At 52.5% G+C, this 19,066-nt stretch overlaps 1 protein-coding gene across 3 annotated transcripts in view, besides 3 other annotated features; it reads left to right on the top strand.

Moving 5' to 3' along the window:
• Positions 1-19,066, top strand: part of ADCY9 (adenylate cyclase 9) — a 163,056-nt gene that overhangs the window by 124,422 nt on the left and 19,568 nt on the right. For all 3 annotated transcript variants that reach the window (XM_011522353.3, NM_001116.4, XM_005255079.4), the window contains exons 6-10: positions 2,925-3,027; positions 8,581-8,789; positions 12,746-12,905; positions 14,391-14,539; positions 17,311-17,352. In XM_011522353.3, the coding sequence (XP_011520655.1) occupies positions 2,925-3,027; positions 8,581-8,789; positions 12,746-12,905; positions 14,391-14,539; positions 17,311-17,352 (663 nt within the window). The remainder of the gene's footprint in view (positions 1-2,924; positions 3,028-8,580; positions 8,790-12,745; positions 12,906-14,390; positions 14,540-17,310; positions 17,353-19,066) is intronic.
• Positions 4,280-4,779: an enhancer, noted in NCBI's record as "H3K4me1 hESC enhancer chr16:4037243-4037742 (GRCh37/hg19 assembly coordinates)". NCBI's record gives its function as "activates a minimal SCP1, AML or CMV promoter by ChIP-STARR-seq in naive H9 embryonic stem cells {active_cell/tissue: H9 hESC(naive)}" and the evidence as "EXISTENCE:reporter gene assay evidence [ECO:0000049][PMID:30033119]".
• Positions 9,050-9,572: an enhancer, noted in NCBI's record as "H3K4me1 hESC enhancer chr16:4032450-4032972 (GRCh37/hg19 assembly coordinates)". NCBI's record gives its function as "activates a minimal SCP1, AML or CMV promoter by ChIP-STARR-seq in primed H9 embryonic stem cells {active_cell/tissue: H9 hESC(primed)}" and the evidence as "EXISTENCE:reporter gene assay evidence [ECO:0000049][PMID:30033119]".
• Positions 9,573-10,096: an enhancer, noted in NCBI's record as "H3K4me1 hESC enhancer chr16:4031926-4032449 (GRCh37/hg19 assembly coordinates)". NCBI's record gives its function as "activates a minimal SCP1, AML or CMV promoter by ChIP-STARR-seq in primed H9 embryonic stem cells {active_cell/tissue: H9 hESC(primed)}" and the evidence as "EXISTENCE:reporter gene assay evidence [ECO:0000049][PMID:30033119]".

The following is a 19,066-nucleotide window of genomic DNA, read 5'->3' as shown; positions in this document are numbered from 1 at the left end:
TGGCTCACTGCAGCCTCTATCTCCCAGGTTCAAACGATGCTCCTGCCTCAGCCTCCCAAGTAGCTGGGGTTACTGGCACCCACCACCATGCCTGGCTAGGTTTTGTATTTTTAGTAGAGATGGAGTTTCATCATGTTGGCCAGGCTGGTCTCCATACTCCTGACCTCGGGTGATCCACCTACCCCACCCTCCCAGAGTGCTGGGATTATAGGCGTGAGCCACCACGCCTGGCTTTTTTTTTTTTTTTTTTTTTTTTTATAAGGACTAGGTCTTGCTGTGTTGCCCAGGCTGGAGTGCAGTGGCTCAATCTCGGCTCACTGCAACCTCCACCTCCCAGGTTCAAGTAATTCTCCTGCCTAGGTCTCTCAAGTAGCTGGGACTACAGGCATACACAACCATGCCCAGCTAATTTTTGTGTTTTTAGTAGAGATGGGTTTTTAACATGTTGGCCAGGCGGGTCTCGAACTCTTGGCCTCAGGTGATCTGCCCGCCTCGGCCTCCTAAAGTGCTGGGATTACAGGTGTGAGCCTGTGCCTGGCCTAATGGTAACATTTTTGAAAAATACAGGTCCAGTCCTTTTATCAAATATTCCTGAAGTTGGATTGGTTAGATTCAGGCTCTCCCTCTGGCCAGGCAGAGACTGCAGAAGGGATGCCGTGTCCTCCTCAGGGTGTCCTCTCCAGGGACACGCAGTGCCCGTCTGTTCCTCATTAGTGATACTAATTTTGATTAATTAGGCAAGGTGGTGCCGGGTTGTCTCATCTAGGGTTATTATATTCCTCTTATGACTAATAAGCAATCTGTGAGAAAATACTTGAAGATCTTGTACATATTTCATTCCCCATCAGAATTCCCTAGATTTAACATTCATTGATGATTCTTGCCTCTGTCTTCACTATAATGCCTCAAAGGGTGATTTTCAGCCAGGCGCTGTGGCTCACGCCTATAATCCCAACACTTTGGGAGGCCGAGGCAGGTAGATCACCTGAAGTCAGGGGTTCAAGACCAGCCTGGCCAACAAGGTGAAACCCCGTCTCTACTAAAAGTACAAAAATTAGCTGGGCGTGGTGGCGGGTGCCTGTCATCCCAGCTACTCAGGAGGCTGAGGTAGGAGAATCGCTTGAACCCAGGAGGCAGAGGCTGCAATGAGCTGAGATCGCAGCACTGCAACTCCAGCCTGGGCAACAGAGCGAGTCTCCATCTCAAAAAACAAATAAGAAATAAATGGAGCAGCACAGCTAATAGCAGTGTCGCTTCTGCCACTTGACTGCTAAAATGTGGCCTTGTGCACATCCTCTCTGCAGCTGCGTGGTTGCTCTTCCCTCAGTCCACACTCCCTGAGTCAGGGGAGGAGAGAGGGTCAGTGTCCTGGGACAGAATTATTTCTCTTCTGAGTCTGAGAATGTTGGAAGTTACTGGATACCTGTCACAGAAAGGAGAGTGTCCGCCGTGCTGCAAGGACAGGAAGGAACACACGTGATGAGCCGTACTTTGTGTGGGGGGCACATGAGGCACTTGACATATTTCACCTGATTTACTCTTTTTTTTTTTTTTTGAGACATAGTCTTGCTGTGTCACCCAGGCTGTAATGCAGTGGCGCCATCTTGGCTCATTGCAACCTCCATCTCCCAGGTTCAAGTGATTCTCCTGCCTTAGCCACCCGAGTAGCTGGGATTACAGGCACCTGCCACCAGGCCTGGCTAATTTTTGTATTTTTTGTAGAAACGGGGGTTCACCATGTTGGCCAGGCTGGTCCCGAGCTCCTGACCTCAGGTGATCCGCTTGCCTCGGCCTCCCAAAGGTCTGGGGATTACAAGGATGAGCCACCGCGCCCAGCCTCGTCTAATTTACTTCTGATAGTCACTGTATGAGGGAGAGAGGCTAACACAGCTATATTTGCTTTCTGAAATCATGTTAACGTTCCCTTAGTTTCTAGTAATTTTCTGCAGTATAGAAAGGATATTACTATTTGCTGGCAATTCATAAATGAATGAAAGAGTCATGGAAAGCGGGGTTGATTTCCCTGCTATTAAAATCACTGAGCTTTATCATTCTGCAGGTTTCACATGCAATCTGCATATGTGACAATAGCACCAAAATTACGCTAACTATAAACACAATTTTGTGATAACAACCTGTTAGCTTTTACGGTGGCAATTACTGTCAGTGCTCTGAATGACAGGACCGCCGGTTCTGAATTATGTTTTCGTTTGAAGCCTCCAAATCCATGTAAGTACTCTCAGCACAGTGATCTGCGTGTTCTTCACAAAAGATTGTTTCAAAGAACAGAAAAGCTGCCTTCATCTTCTCCTAATCCTAGACATTAGGAATGTGTTTTCAAAAACAAGCCTCAGCAGCTCACGCTGTCATCCCAGCACTTTGGGAGGCCGAGATGGGTGGATCTCTTGAGCCCAGGAGTTCGAGACCAGCCTGACCAACATGGTGAAACCCCGCGTCTGCTAAAAAATACAAAAATTAGCTGGGTGCGGTGGCAGGCGCCTGTAATCCCAGCTACTCAGGAGGCTGAGGCAGGAGAATTGCTTGAACCTGGGAGGCGGAGATTGCAGTGAGCCAAGATCGCTGCGCCATTGCACTCCAGCCTGGGCGACAGAGTGAGACCTTGCCTCAAAAAAAAAAAACCCCAAAAAACCAAGGTTCTGATGATGTGTGCTATAATCATGGTGGATGGTCATTCTTTAACGAAGGTGAAACACAAAATATGATTATGCTTTGAGGTGCGAAGGACTTTCCACAGATCTGTTTTAACAAGGGGCAGCTGAGTGGCGTCTGTTCCACAGGCGCTTTTAGACGCAGCTGTTGTAATATACCTAATGAGCAGCGTTTTGGTAGCTAATTATGATCTGAAAACATTGGCACAGTTATGGTGCTGGGTATTGATCGACTGCATTTGTTGTGTCTTCTAGCCTGATGAAAGATTACTTTTTTAAGCCGCCCATTAATCAGTTCAGCCTGAACTTCCTGGATCAGGAGCTGGAGCGATCCTACAGGACCAGCTATCAGGAAGAGGTGCGTTCATTTCTCCTTGCGCTTTTACTAAAGAATGTGTTTGTTGTTCTCACATGGTCATTCACTGTTAGTTTTGTGCTTTACCAAGGGATGGGAACACGAAGGCGAACATTGATTTCCCACACTCTGTAAACCCTAAGTGGCAACTGTACATGAAATGTCTCTTTGCAAAGGAGGAAAAAAACCCTTTCTTTAGTCCTTTGTCTTAAAGCGCAGCCTCGCCATTACTAGCCCCTTTCCTCTGCCGTGGCATCTCCAGGCTATCCCCAGCCTTGGAAGGGGCCCCCCCACCACAACCTGTCCTGAAAGGAAACCCCCAACCTGCCCTGGAAGGAAACCCCCCCACCTGCCTTGGAAGGGGCCCCCACACCTGCCCTGGTAAAGGAACCCCCCCCACCTGCCATGGAAGGGGTCCCCCACCTGCCCTGGAAAGGAACCCCTCCCCACCTGCCCTGGAAAGGAACCCCGACACCTGCCCTGGAAGGGAACCCCCCACACCTGCCCTGGAAGGGAATCCCCCACACCTGCCCTGGAAGGGAACCCCCCACCTGCCCTGGAAGGGAACTCCCCACCGACCTGCCCTGGAAGAGCCCCCGTCCCACCTGTCCTGGAGTCTTGGGTGAGACTCTTCTCTGTTGCCCTCCCTGCTTTCTTCCCCTGAGAAGGGCCCAGGAGGCCTTCACCTCTCTCTCTAACTCCGGCTCCATGTTCCCTCTCCCGCCCCCACCGCCTTAACCCCTTGTACTTGACTTCTCAGCCCATCACCCAATCCCACTTCCTCCAAGAAGCTCTCCCCGACTGCAGACTGGATTGTACTTCCCTTCATACACTTCCTTCTCCGTGTGTGCCCCATTTTGGAATCTTTCCGTGTGTGGTTCTGGATTCGTGTTCCTCCCTCCCTAGATGCTCAGCTCTGTGAGGTAGGACCCCCGTCTCTCTCCTCCAGCCCCTCCTTACAGCCTCCAGCACAGTCCCAACACCCATCTCTCTCCTCCAGCCCCTCCTCACAGCCTCCAGCAGAGTCCCAGCGCTCACAAGTGCTCCTTAGGGGGTTGCTGGAAGGAATAATACAAGAACCTAGAGCCTGGTTTGAATCCTGGCGGCTTCCAGACTGCATTCTCTCCTCTGGGCCCAAACCTAACCTCTGAGTGTTCCCAAGTCAAGAGTGGATGCCCTCCCCACCCGGAACAAAAGGGATTTCTCACTCTGATTCCCTTGGTTCCTCCAGCAGGTCTTCATTAAACTCCGTGGTGTCCTGGCTTGGGCTCTAGAGAGACCCTGGTGAGCCCAGTAGAGCCAGTTCATGCCTCGTGGGGTGGGAGGTGCCCCCTTCCGTCAGCCTCCAAGGGACAGTGAATATCCGTTAATGTCCCAGACATGGCTCCCGGAGTGGACTTGCAAGTTGGCAGTTGGCTGGTTGGTGGCCCGTAAGGCAAAATATCGTCTCATTTAATGCTCATAGCAATGCTGTAGGGAAGCTGATGATTATCCTCCTTTTACCAAAGAGCTGACGCTGAGCAAGGCTGAACAGGTGGCTGTGGTCCCATAGCCGGGGTCGGACACGAGTGGTCTGGCTGCCAAACCAGGCGTCCGGGCCGCTTCTCGCCCTGCACTGCTGAGCCTCCCAAACAGCAGACACCTTTGCCATGCCTTCCTCCAGGCACCAAATGTACGCTCAGCCTCTGCTCTGCCAGGGACTGTTCTTGGTGCTGGGGAAGGGGGAAAGACGTGGCCTGATGGGGAGCAGGAATTAGAAACAACATCCGGAGCTGGAGGTCTGCGAGTGCCCTCCCAGCACACGGCGAGGCACCAAGCCCAGGCTGGGGGCTCCAAGGGGGGAACTCCTGAGCCTGCCTCAGTGGGGGGACTAGGAATTAATGGAATGTGGGATGAGGGAACATTCTGGAGAGTGGGGCCAGCACCCACAAACGTTAGAGATACCAAAGAGCCTGGTTCGTCCAGGGAGTTGCAGGCGCATCCGGGGCAGGGTGGGGCAGGAGTGGCAGGACGTGGCAGGGGCCAGGTCACGGCTCCCATGCCATGGACTTTATGCCACAGGCCATGGGGAGCTGTTGAAGGATCTGGAACAGGTTGTGTTACAAAGATCACACAGCTCACACCTGTAATCCCAATTACTCAGGAAGCTGAGGCAGGAGGATCACTTGAGGCCAGTAGATAGACCAGCCTGGGCAACATAGTGAGACCCTGTCTCTTCCAACAAAAAGAAGAAAAACATGGCCGGGCGCGGTGGCTCATGCCTGTAATCCCAGCACTTTGGGAGGCTGAGGCGGGCAGATCACCTGAGGTCAGGAGTTCGAGACCAGCCTGGCCAACATAGTGAAACCCCGTCTCTACTAAAAATACAAAACTTAGCCAGGTATGGTGGCGGGCGCCTGTAATCCCAGCTACTTGGGAAGCTGAGACAGGAAAATCGCCTGAACCCGGGAGGCGGAGGTTGCAGTGAGCCGAGACCATGCCGTTGCACTATTGCACTCCGGCCTGGGCAAGAAGAGTGAAACTCCGTCTCAAAAAAAGAAAAAAAACAAACATGTATCAGCTGAGTTTCGGAGGGTGATAAGAGTGTGGACAAGACAGGAGGCCACATGACAGGTGGGAGGCTGTTACCGAAACTCAGGGCAGGTGGCCACAGGGTCCCGGTGGGGAGGAAAGGAGAGATGCCAGGACAAGGGAGCCTCCCAGCTGGCCCGCGTTTGGGGACTCATTGTGCTGGGGGCTCCACGTGGGTGCGTTCTTAGCCGAGCATCCCACCGCCCACAAGGTGCAAGTACTGGTTTATCCCTGGTTTTGGATAAAGAGACTGAGGCATGGACGCGTGGGTATCATAGCTAATCATGGTGGAGTGGCCTTGAGCCCAGACAGCCCGGCTGCAGAGCCTGTGCTCTGATGATGGTGGGACGGCCGCACCCGGAGGCCCTGGGATGTGGGTAGTGAGCAGGGCGGAGCCTGGCCCACGGTGCCCTGGCAGCCAGTGGCACTGTCCCTGGGTTTCGCCCATGGGGAGAGAGGGCGAAAGAGTGTCATGATGTGGGGGAGCGTCGTTCTCAGTGGGACTGGGACAGGTGGCACTCCCGGGATGCACAGGGGTGGGGCAGATGGGCCTGGGAGCCTCTGGCATCAGGGCCAGGGGTGGCCCAGAGGGGGAGGCTGTGGCAGGGACAGGTGTCTCTGGCAAGTAGCAGGGCAGGCAGGAGAGACTGCAAGGGAGGTGGAGGGAGGAGCGGGGCCTCTGGCAGCGTCCATGGATGGGGCAGTTCTACAGAGGAGATGGCAGCCCCAATCAGGAAAGGCCCTGTACCCGAGCCCTTGGCTTGGAAGGTGGGAGGTGTGGGCTCTCAGAAGGACGGCAGCCCACGTGGAAACCTTCCGGCCTCACATGTGGGCAAGGCAGTGATGTCTCAGGGACATCACATGCATGCACCCGGCCCTGACTCGAACCCCTGACGGGCACTAGATGGAGCCCCACAGAAAGGGGACGTGCGTGGGCCTCTGCCAAGGTGAGTGGGCATGGGCAGTGTCGCCCCTGAAATTCCTACACCTGGCCGGGTACAGTGGCTCAGGCCTGTAATCCCAGCACTTTGGGAGGCCGAGGCAGGCAGATCACGAGGTCGAGATAGAGACCATCCTAGCCAACTTGGTGAAATCCCATCTCTACTAATCATACAAAAATTAGCTGGGCGTGGTGGCGGGTGCCTGTCCTCCCAGCTACTCCAGAGGCTGAGGCAGGAGAATTGCTTGAACCTGGGAGGCGGAGGTTGCAGTGAGCCAAGATCGCGCCACTGCACTCCAGCCTGGCGACAGCCAGATCCCATCTCAAAAAAAAAAAAAAAAAAAAGGAAAAGAAAAGAAAAATGAAAAAAAAGAAATTCCCACACCTTCTGAGGGGATTCCAGGGCTGGGACCTGACTTGCCCTTTTGGGCACTACAGAGCCTCCAGCTTCCTTGGAGAGAATTTGGAACCAAACCCTAACCCCCAGGTTGCCCTGGCAGGGTCCAGCCTGGCATCAGGGCTGACTGGCAGCCTTGCTCCCACCGTCCAAGTGCCCCTCCTGCCCTCCCACCTAGTTCCTGGGAGTGGTCGAGGCACCCGGAGCTGGTTTGTCCCAAAGAACGCACACCGCACCCAGGGCTGCCAGGAGACCTTTCCGCTCCGTGCGTCTCCAGCTCCTGCCCTCAGCCCCGAGCCTGGCCGGGATGCTGAGTGGACACCCATGGCCTCTCAGGGGTTGCCAGAAGGTTGCAAGGCCAAATGGAAAGCAGCTGAACTGGCTACATCCCTTCCTCTCCCAACCACAGCCTCTGCCTTTGGATCCTACACCTTCCTCTAGGTTAGGGACACACTCAGGAGTCAACCGGTCCATGCCAAGTCCTGGCCTGGCTCCTTGTTCGCTGTGTGCCCTAGGGGTAGCCCCTGGCCTTGGCCTCCCAATCTGTACACCGAGATGGGTGGTAGTTCCTGCCTGTGGGGTGCCGTGAGCGTCAATGGAGATCGCACCTCCCCAGAGCCTTGCAGGGCCTGGGCCTGGTCACCTCTTGGACGTGTCAGCATCGTTATTTCTCCCCCTCAATTGCCGAACACTAGTGTGTGCCTCTCTAGTGTACTGGCCCCCAGCACAGAGCCAGGCCCCGTAGGTTCCCAGGCGATGATGTGCCACTTAAATCCCCGTCGGCCACTTCCGCCACGAAGCCCCGCTTTCGCACCTGCTGAACCTAGGACTCCGCCATGCAGCAGGACCGCCCTGCACATTGCTCTCGTCCAACTGCCTTACAGATGCAGGGACCTCACCTGCGCCAGTCAGTAACTCATCTTGCAGCTAAATATATAATGTGTCTATGAGAATGTGCTGGGTCATAATCAGTTGCTCTGTGACCCTGGCAGGGTTTTTTTTGTGTTTTTTTGTTTTCGGAAACGGTATAATTCTGCAGTGGTGTGATCATAGTTCACTGCGGCTTCAAACTCCTGGGCTCAAGCAATCCTCCCACCTCAGATCCCAAGTACCTGGGACTACAGGCACAAACCACTATGCCCAGCTAATTATTTTATTTTTTGGTAGACGGGGTCTCGCTATGTTGCCCAGGCTGGAGTGCAGTGGCATGATTATAGCTCACTGCGGCCTGAAACTCCTGGGCTCACACAATCCTCCTGCGTCATCCTCCTGAGTAGCTGGGACCACACTCACGCACTGCCATGCCTGGCTAATTTTAAAGTTTTTTGTAGAGATGGAGTCTCACTGTGTTACGCTGGCCGGGAACTCCTGGGCTCCAGCGACCCTCCTACGTCAGCCTCCCAAAGTGTCGGGATTACAGGCGTGAGCCACCGTGCCCAGCCCCCTGGGCAAGTTTAACTTCTCTGTGCCTTGGACTCCCCAGTGTTAAATGGGGTAGTAGAGGGAGACAGCCCTCCGAGAGCCTTCCTGCCCTGTGCCTGGCCCAGAGCAGCAGTGCTCCGCACGTGTTGCCTGTTTCTCCATCTGAACTGCGCTCCTGGCCGCCCATGGCCTCCCAGTCATTCTGCTCCACTCCTGCTCCACACAGGTCATAAAGAACTCCCCCGTGAAGACGTTTGCTAGTCCCACCTTCAGCTCCCTCCTGGATGTGTTTCTGTCGACCACAGTGTTTCTGACGCTGTCCACCACCTGCTTCCTGAAGTACGAGGCGGCCACCGTGCCTCCCCCGCCCGCCGCCCTGGCGGTCTTCAGTGCAGCCCTGCTGCTGGAGGTGCTGTCCCTCGCGGTGTCCATCAGGTAAGCGCCGCGTGGACTGGGTCTCCAGCTCTGAGCCGTTAGCTCCCTCTTCTGGCTCCATGGCTTATGGCTGAGCGGTTGGACTGGTCCCCAGCCAGCTGTCCCTGCTGGCTGATTTCTGGAGATGGGTCCCCGTGTCCTCCCCGAGCCCTGTGCCCCAGCATCCTCCCTCCCTGACGTTGGCCCAGATGCGGGGGGACCACCTCGCTGGAGGGGGCGGTGCCTCCACAGCCCCAACCGCTGCCAGCTTGTCCCCAGATTTCCAGGTTCAGAGACTGCAAAGGAGAAGGTGAGAAGATAGGAAACAATCTGGAGGAAGGAAAGGAAAAGACATGAGCGGGGGTAGTGGGCCTGGGACAGCAGGCGCCTCTTCAGAGTACCGGAGCCAAACAGCATCTCCACGCACTTGCCTCAGGCAGTGGTCTCTTGGATGTGACGCCAACAGAAGAAAGAATAGACAAGCCCAACTTCCTCAGAAGTTAAGCTGTTGCGCTACAAAGAACACCATCAAGAAAGAGAAAGAACCCACAGAACGGGAGGGAACACTTGCAGATCAGGCCTCGGACAAGGTCTAACATCTAGAATGGATAAAGAGCACACATAGCCTGATAATAAAAAGACAGCTCATTTTAAAGGGGACAGAGGCTCCGAATAGACCACAGGTGCGTCTTGGGAAAGCTGGGCCCTCGGGACCAGCCTGGCTCCCTGAGGGGGCTCGCAGCGGCTCTGTATTCCTGAGCAGGAAGGTGGCCCTGTGTGGTCCCCGTCCTGGGCACCACAAGCCCCTTGGGTGGTCCTGTCACCCTCAACAGGATGGCTGCCGGCCTAGCAGAGTCCCACTAGCAACGGTGCCCCGGAGCTGGGCTTCAAACAGACATGGGGAGGCAGCCCTGACCTTGAGCGTCTGCTGCCCTTATCCAACATCCCAGGGCAGAAATGAATGGCTTTGAGTCTGGCGTGAGGCGCCGGAATGCTGGCTTCTCCCATCTGGGGTGGGCAGGCTGGGATTCCTGCCCCCTCCTTCCCACCTGCACTGTACCCAGGACCCTTTCAGCTTCCTCCGAGGCCGCCATGGGCCATGCTGTCTGTGGCGTGTGCTCAGTGTTTCCCAGAACTCCCTGTGGGCTCATGCCCCATCACCCCCAGCGAGCAGCCCTCTTCCTGGCACAGCCTCCCCTCCTGCCTCAGTGCCCTCCTGTGCTTCTGGGGACCCCTCCCAAAGGAGCCGTCGCCTGCAAACCCTTTCAGGGTCCACTTCCCCAGAACCCAAACCAGACATCCTCAGGCCCCTGGTTGGTTTGTTTTTCCTCTTTAAAAAGATCAGCTTTAGGCTGGGCATGGTGGCTCATGCCTGTAATCCCAGCACTTTGGGAGGCCAAGGCAGGTGGATCACCTGAGGCTGGGAGTTCGAGACCAGCCTGGACAGCATGGTGAAACCTCATCTCTACTAAAAAATACCAAAAAAAAAAAAATAGCCATTCTTGGTTGTGGGCACGTGTAACCCCAGCTACTCGGGAGGCTGAGGCAGGAGAATCAACTTGAACCCAGGAGGTGGAGATTGCAGTGAGCTGAGATCGCACCATTGCACTCCATTCTGGGTGACGAGCAAAACTCCATCTCAAAAAAGAAAAAAAAGAAGATCTGCTTTATTGTGACATGATTTATATACAATAAACTCATTCAAGTGGACAACTCAGTGATTTTTAGCAAATTTGAAGAATTGTATGAATATCACCACTATGTAACTATCGGGCACCTCCATCACCCCAAAAAGAAACCCATCCTCATGGGCAGTCACTCCCCCAGGTCTGCCTTCCCTGGTCCACCCCCAGGTTTTCCTCTAATGTGGGTAGCTGTAGCGTCTTGAGGGCTCTGAGGCCAGCATTGTCTCCATTCCTTTTTACTTTCACCCTTTAGCTATTATTCCCTGCTCCTTCAGACCCAATTCTAAAGCATTGAGGGCAACCCCGGTGTAGACTGCCGAGGGCTGGGGTGAGGTGCGCTGGAACTGCCTGCACAGACATACTCCCCAAGGATCTGGTGAAGGTGGTGGCTGCTGCACCCCTGAACAGGCCTGTGGTGGGATTTGGTTCCATTTACCAGGAATCGTCAAGCCTGGGAGAGGCCCAGACCCTGAAAGGCTTCCCTGGCCCCTCTGAGGGCCGTGTTGAGGACCCCAGGTTGACGGGAACCTGCGCTGTGGGGTATACGGGCACCCCATCCCTTTCCTGTACAGGAGGAAAGCCAGGCGCCTCCTCAGTGACTGGCCCAGGCCCCGCCCGTTGCCTCCAGGAGGCTTCCTGCATCACCCTCTCTGCTCTGCCCCAGCAGGCGTGAGGTCTCATTTTCAGATCCCTGCAGTCTCAGGGACCAGCATGAAGGCCCCCTCCAACCTCACATCTTTCCCGCTGCTGACTGGGAACTTGGTTCCCTCTGTCCCCCCTCCTAGGGCCTCTGTATTCTGCATATTTGTGGTTATTCTTGGAAGTATTCCAAAGTCTTCATTATCCTTTAAATATCAGGAAGCCAGGGCTGTCCAGGACCCTAAAAGGGTGAGGCTGTGCCTGCGTCCATGTGGGGAATGGCTGGAGAGTGAGCGTTCCCTCGCCTGGCCACACCACGCAGCCAAGAGGGAGAGGCATGGTAGGTGTTCAGGCCCGAAGGCTGGGGGCGGGGGGCTCTGTGCCAGAGGCTTTTTTGCTGTTCAGTCACAACAGCGGCCCCCGCCCAGCCTCTCCTGAGGCAGGGACAGCAGGCCTATCCCCAGCTCCCTGGCAGCAAGCTTGAGAGAAGGACTGTCTCCCCACGAGGACCCCACACCTTCTCTTCACCTCCCCATGTGGCCCCACCATGGCCCAGGGGTCCTTGGACTCAGCCAAGACCTGTTCCTCCTCCTCACAGTGGTTCTTGGCCCGCACACTCAGCTGCTTCTTTATACAGAAACTTTTATTGTGTCAACATCACACTCCTGAAACGAAGCCCGCTAGACACACGCCTGCAAAAGGAGTCAGTGAATACAGTCGCTCTGCTTAGAAGGACAAAGTCTTTTAAAATGAAATACGTGGTGCTGGACCTCACGTACAACAGAGCCCCGCTGTCTGGAGAGTCCTGAAGCCGCCAGCTAGAGGTGAACATGCACGATGAACATGACAGCCCAGATGCAGACGGCACGCGTGTGCGGGTTTGGTGGTCTAAGCGCCACGAGCCAGGTTCAGCCTGTGGTGTGATTTTCTGAAACACTGATGATGATGCCCCAAACAGCAGAGACCACTGTCACTCAGTTTCCACAGGAGCTGCGCTCCAAGAAAATCCAGGGTGTGTCAGCACCACCACAGAGCACCCTGTTTGTAGCTGGGACACAGCCTCTGGGCTAAGATGCTGTCAGCAGCCTTCTGCCTTTGCAGGTGCCCAGGGGCTTGGCTGCTGTGTGGGGTGCAGGGCAGAACCTCCCTGGGTGGCACCTGCCCACATGCAGGACAGCTCTGTCCCTGGCGCCTGCCCACCAGATGCCAGGACCGCCTCTTCTGCTGCGACAACTGCACGGGCTCCACAGAATTCCAGGACGCCTCCAAAGCTGCCCCCGTCAAGACCTCCTGCCTCAGAAGCTGATGGGAGCCGGTGACGGCAACGTGGTGGCCCCCAGGAGACTCTCCTCAGGGCCTGTGATACTCTCACGTGTTCTGTTAGGCGAGCGAAGCATGTGCTTTTCACAAGCATATTTTATCACAACGCAACATGTGACCCTAGAATCAGGTACAATGAGCTAAGCCTGGCTTCCTTGCCTTCTACCAAAAGTGAGGGAGGTAGACTCCCACCCCACGCCTGCTCTCACGCCCATCCCAGGGGCAACACGGGAGAGAGCAGAGGGCGGCGCTGGCTGCGGCCTCGCACCTGTCTCCTGGCCGATGACCCACCCCGGGCCCCGTCGCTCCTGCTAACCCCCATGCCTCTCGCAGGATGGTGTTCTTCCTGGAGGACGTCATGGCCTGCACCAAGCGCCTGCTGGAGTGGATCGCCGGCTGGCTACCACGTCACTGCATCGGGGCCATCCTGGTGTCGCTTCCCGCACTGGCCGTCTACTCCCATGTCACCTCCGAATATGAGACCAACATACACGTAAGTAAAGGCTCAGCCGTTTTATTTCCACGCTCTCCTGGACTCCCTAATCTCTCTTTTCTTTAAATCACTTGGGATAGCAATTTAAAAATAAACCCTTTGGCCAGGCATGGTGGCTCACGCCTGTAATCCCAGCACTGTGGGAGGTGGAGGTGGGCAGATCACAAGGTCAAGAGATCGAGACCATCCTGGCCAACATGGTGAAACCCCGTCTCTACTAAAAATACAATTAGCTGGTCATGGTGGCAGGCGCCTTTAATCCCAGCTACTTGGGAGGCTGAGGCAGGAGAATCGCTTGAACCTGGGAGGCAGAGGTTGCAGTGAGCTGAGGTTGCACCACCACACTGCAGCCTGGGTGATGGAGCGAGACTGCGTCACAAAATAAAATAAAATAAATAAAATAAAATAAACCCTTGAAGAGGCACGAACTCTTTTACTCTCCTGAGCCAGCTTTTTTAGAAGCCGACTTAGCATTGGCCTGCCCAGATGCTCACGCCCGGGCAGTGGCCGGGCTGGGGAGTCCCCGGTGGGCACGAGTCCCTGCCAGTGTGGCTTCTTCTTCATCAAGTTCCAAATCAGTTATTTTCCTTCACATTTTACAAAGAAGCGTCTGTCCCACCTTTCCTAACCATGCGAGAAGCATACCTGGCACACAGAATTGACTTGTGCCCGGGTCGGCTGCTGCTGATCAGGAAGGGAACTGTGCTAAACTCCGTGGAGAGGGAACCAGCACGGCCGTGGGAGATGATCCTTCTGGTGCAAGTGAGCATGAGCTTCCGGGCGGGCTGATGGTGTTTGACACTTTAGCCCCAAATCACATCTCACTGGGCCCCAAGGAAAAGTGTTTTGAAGGAAACTGATCACACAGCGTTTCTCAAACAGGGAGGCCTCCCTTTCCTTTCCACGAAGACACGTGCCATTTCCCACACCTGCAGAAGAGTGTGATGCCATGTGAACAGGGAGCCTCACGCCGGGTAGGGAACCTAGAGGCTTGATCTGTCCTTGACACTGCCCACTAGCAAAAGTAAGACTGACTGCAGATAGTGAGCAATTAGCTGGTATCGGTGATATTTTTAGGTTACACAGAAACATGGATTAGGCCGGGAGCGGTGGCTCATACCTGTAATCCCAGGCACTTTGAGAGGCCGAGGCAGGTGGATCACCTGAGGTCAGGAGTTCGAGACCAGCCTGGCCAACATGGTGAAACCCAGTCTTTACTAAAAATACAAAAATTAGCGAGGTGTGGTGCCGGGAGCCTGTCATCCCAGCTACTCATGAGGCTGAGGTAGGAGAATCACTTGAACCCGGAAGGCAGAGGTTGCAGTGAGCTGAGATTGCACCACTGCACTCCAGCCTGGGCGACAGAGTGAGACTCAGTCAAAAAAAAAAGGAAACATGGATTAGTGGCGAATGTTTTGGCGGCCGGGTATAGCAGGGGTGGCGGGGTGGCCCTGGGCGGCTGTCCTAACCCTTCGCCTCTTGCAGTTCCCAGTGTTCACAGGCTCGGCCGCGCTGATTGCCGTCGTGCACTACTGTAACTTCTGCCAGCTCAGCTCCTGGATGAGGTCCTCCCTCGCCACCGTCGTGGGGGCCGGGCCGCTGCTCCTGCTCTACGTCTCCCTGTGCCCAGACAGGTACGCGGCCAGCACTGCTTGCGGGCACCAGGGTGCGTGGCCACCTTGCCCGAGGTTGCGTAGGGCCTGGCTGCATTTGCACATTGCTTCTCACGCCCCGATAGAGATATTTCCCATCATGACCCAAAATAGCTGTCAGCACACATCATACCAAAGAGCTAATGAGATGCCCTCAGAGTAATATGCAAAAGAAAGAAAAAGAATATCATTTAGAACAGCACTCTGGGTAGTTGAATGTAGACATCCTGGAAAACATAATGCTGCCATTGCATTATACCGAGGTGACTTCTGATGAATGGGCTGGAATCTAAGAAAGTAGGACCTGAAGGATTTCATAGAAGATGGTCAAGGCCATGAAAGAGCGGAGCTGCAGATGGATGTGAAGGTGGAGAGGAAGCTGGTGCTGACTTTCCTTGAGTGGGGTAGGGTTCATGAACCGGGACAGGTCACAGCCTGGAAGGAGGAGGTGAAGACGTAGGATGATCTTGCAAGTCACCTGGGGCTTATTTCAAAATATTATGTCAGGCTGGGCACAGTGGCTCATGCCTGTAATCCCAGCACTTTGGGAGGCCAAGGCAGGCAGATCACCTGAGGTCAGGAGTTCAAGACCAGCCTGGCCAACATGGTGAAACCCCGTCTCTACGAAAAATACAAAAATTAGTCAGGCATGGGGGCGTGCACCTGTAATCGCAGCTACTTGGGAGGCTGAGGTAGGAGAACCGCTTGTACCCGGGAGGCGGAGGTTGCAGTGAGCTGAGATTGTGCCATTGCACTCCAGCCTGGGTGACAAGAGTGAGATTCCATCTCAAAAACAAAAAATAATAAATAGGTCAAAACAGTTCCCCATATGATGTCATGAGACGTAGGATTAATGACCAGTCACTGAACATAGGTCTTTTATTTTGAAATCCTCTGCATACTGAGGAGGACGCTGGCCTTCAGAACCGTATCACTGGTAGGTGCTGAGGAATGGGATGGCGCAGACACAGAAACAGGAGTCAGGGAGGCCGGTAGACCTCTGGGGACAAGCCCAGTTCTCATCATTGTACTACAAAAAATGTAAAAACTTACAGGATGGCAGTGATAGGTGCTATATTTAAAATATTTGCCATTAGCGACATCCAGTAAGATCCCTATCTTTCATGTGTTGCACTAACTGAATAATTCTTGATTTGTTAAAAATAAGTCCCAGCCGGTCTTGGTGCTCACGCCTGTAATCCTACCACTTTTGGGAGGCTGAAGCGGGTGGATTGTCTGAGCTCAGGAGTTCAAGACAGCCTGGGCAACACGGTGAAACCCTGTCTCTACTAAAAATACAAAAAATTAGCCAGGCATGGCGGTGTGCACCTGTAGTCCCAGCTACTCAGGAGGCTGAGGCAGGAGAATTGGTTGACCCTGGGAGGCGGAGGTTGCAGTGAACCGAGATCGCGCCACTGCACTCCAGCCTGGGTGACAGAGCAAGACTCAGTCTCCAAAAATAAAAATAAAAAATAAGTCTCAAAATTGCCTATTACACATTTGCTACTGGTTTCAGGGTATTTTAAGCCTTTTCAACTAAATGTGTTGTTGGAAATACAGTAATACCTTGTATAACAGAATGTAAGCAGTGAACAATTTATTCAAATATTTCGTGATATCTTAAACCCATTAAGCTTCCATTCATGTAATAAATTTCTCCCAAATATTGGGCTTTTCCTATAACTGCTTATAAAAATGTTTCACTATTAGTGTGTATTGAAGAACCGCCTGTTTACAATTACAGAGGGTTTAGGTGCGCAGAATGTTTTAAAGTCACATGGGACATTTCTTCCTTGTCCTTGCAGGAGATCTAACATTCTGGCTCCCTGAGTTATTAAGAGAACCAGAGGGACCCCTGGCATTTCCGAAATGCCCCGTTGGAGTGGCATTGCTGTTGCCAAGGACCTCTGCTTGAATTCATTCAAAAGCACAAAATGATTCTATTTGCCGCAGTATTGTCAGTATCAGACGGAGTAGGCACGGGGTGTCTTTGGTTATTAGCAAAGCAACAGTCCAGCCATGGGCAGTGTGAGCATCCGTCCTCAGTTTACTTAAGAAAAGAATCACAATACAAAAGACATTTAAATTCCCTGCAAATTAAGATCAAAAAGGGAATTTAAAATAGGACTGTCATTCAGTACTTGAAAGGAAACTTTAATGAATAGATTAAGCAAAATAAAGCAGACTTGGATTTTTCTGAAGGTATGGCCATCTAGAACGATGGTCACGATGAGCTCTTTCTCGAGAGTATGAAATCCAGCAAACTGCTTTTTACCTTTTAAATCCATCACAGGTCCCTCATCGGGCATTCACCGTGGCCTTTAGTCATGGCTGCGGGGCTTTTCTACCTGGAGCTGGAGAGCCACAGTGATGGGGGACCCCTCTGCCGCCTTTGTGCCCAGAGTTCAAATAGCAGATCTGGGGTAGGGATGATGGTTGAAGTTCCACTCGGCCCAGAACTCCTCCATCCACTTGAGGCCTCAGAGCCCCTAATCCCATCACGGTTGCTAAGCCTCAGCAGGATAGAGAGGATGCGGGATGGTAAACAAAGACGTAAACTCAGCTTTACCAAGGGAACTGCCCCCAGCATTGGGAGACACAGATGTGAAGAAAGAGGTGGGAGCAGGTGGCTTTATGTGGATGTACAACCACGTCTAAAAAAGGAACATAGTTTGTTCAAGCTCTTCTCAGGTTGCCTTGTGGAATGCCTTCTTTGCTCTTTATGATAATATTTTTCTGCATTTTAATTTCAGTTCTGTATTAACTTCGCCCCTTGACGCAGTACAGAATTTCAGGTAAGCTTTTAATATTGCACTTCTGTCTGAATAAACGAGAGTGACTGTATTACCCTGCCCATTTCGAAGCTTCCTGAAAACAATGGGATCTTGAATAAAAGGAACAATACGTGCATTCTTAGAATAGAAAGTGGAAAATATCTCCTCGTTGAACTGTATCATAGTTATAATGTCTAATGGGGAAAATAAAATTAGTTTTATTATTTTAATAAGACATTACAGTCATGTAATTTTATGTAAGACTTTCGCATGCAACAAAGGAAATCTCGCAAATCAAAGAAAAAAGTTATTTTGTAAAATATTTTAAAATAACCGACTTGAAATCAGCCAGGCACGGTGGCTCACGCCTGTAATCCCAGCATTTTGGGAGGCCGAGGCGGGCGGATCACGAGGTCAGGAGATGGAGACCATCCTGGCTAACACGGTGAAACCCCGTCTCTACTAAACAAAATACAAAAAATTAGCTGGGCATGGTGGCGGGCGCCTGTAGTCCCAGCTACTCAGGAGGCTGAGGCGGGAGAATGGCGTGAACCCGGGAGGCGGAGCTTGCAGTGAGCCAAGATTGTGCCACTGCACTCCAGCCTGGGTGACAGAATGAGACTGTGTCTCAAAAAGTAATAAAATAACTGACTTGAAATCCAAAATACTAAATGTTTGACCCTTGCTTTACTATAAACAGCAGAATAAATTCTAAATAAATTGAAGAGTCGGAAATAAAAATTAAACTATATAAAATCTAGAAAAAGTAAAATTCAATAGTTTTCAAGCCTCTAAAACTGAGATAACTTTCCAGGCTTACAAATAATAAATAGAACCACAACGAAAAGATGGACAGATTTGAGAGGAAGGGAGAGAAAATCAAAGCACACAGAAAAGGACCGGGCTCGGTGACTCCCGCCTGTAATCCCAGCACTTTGGGAGGCCAAGGCAGGAAGATTACTTGAGGCCTGGAGTTCTAGACCAGCCTGGGCAACATAGCGAAATCCTGTTTTGGCAAAAAATTGTAAAAATTAGCCAGGTATGGTGGTATGCACCTGTAGTCCCAGCTACTCGGGAAGCTAAGGTGGGCTTGAGGCCGGGAATTTGAGGCTGCATTGAGCTGTGATGGTGTCCTTGCACCCCAGCCTGGTTGTCACAGCAAGACTCTGTCTCAGAAAAAAAAGGCCAGGCACGTTGGCTCATGCCTGTAATTCCAGCACTTTGGGAGGCCAAGGCAGGTGGATCACCTGAGATCAGGAGTTCAAGACCAGCCTGGCCAACATGGCAAAACCCCGTCTCTACTAAAAATACAAAAATTAGCTGGGGTGGTGGTGGGCACCTGTAATCCTAGCCACTTGGGAGGCTGAGGCAGGAGAATTGCTTGAACCTGGGAAGCGGAGGTTGCAGTGAGCCAAGATCGGCCACTGCACTCCAGCCTGGGCGACAGAGTGAGACTCTGTCTCAAAAAATAAAATAAAATAAAAAAAAGATTCATTAGCAACTGTAGTTGTCAATAATAAATAAATTAACTGATTATACATTTACTCAAATAATACAACTGTTAAAATGCAGTAAATATGGAAAACATTTAAGATTTTCATTTACTAGGTGAAACTATATATGTACTATAGGTACAACTAGGTATTTATATATAGTAAAAATATGTACAAGATTTATACTTAGGATATAATGAATGAGTGATGATTACAGCTTTAGTACTTAAAAGTAAAGCACC

Source organism: Homo sapiens, chromosome 16 (genome assembly GCF_000001405.40).
Source record: "Homo sapiens chromosome 16, GRCh38.p14 Primary Assembly".
Classification (NCBI taxonomy): Eukaryota; Metazoa; Chordata; class Mammalia; order Primates; family Hominidae; genus Homo; species Homo sapiens.
This window is presented reverse-complemented; position numbering and strand designations above follow the sequence as displayed.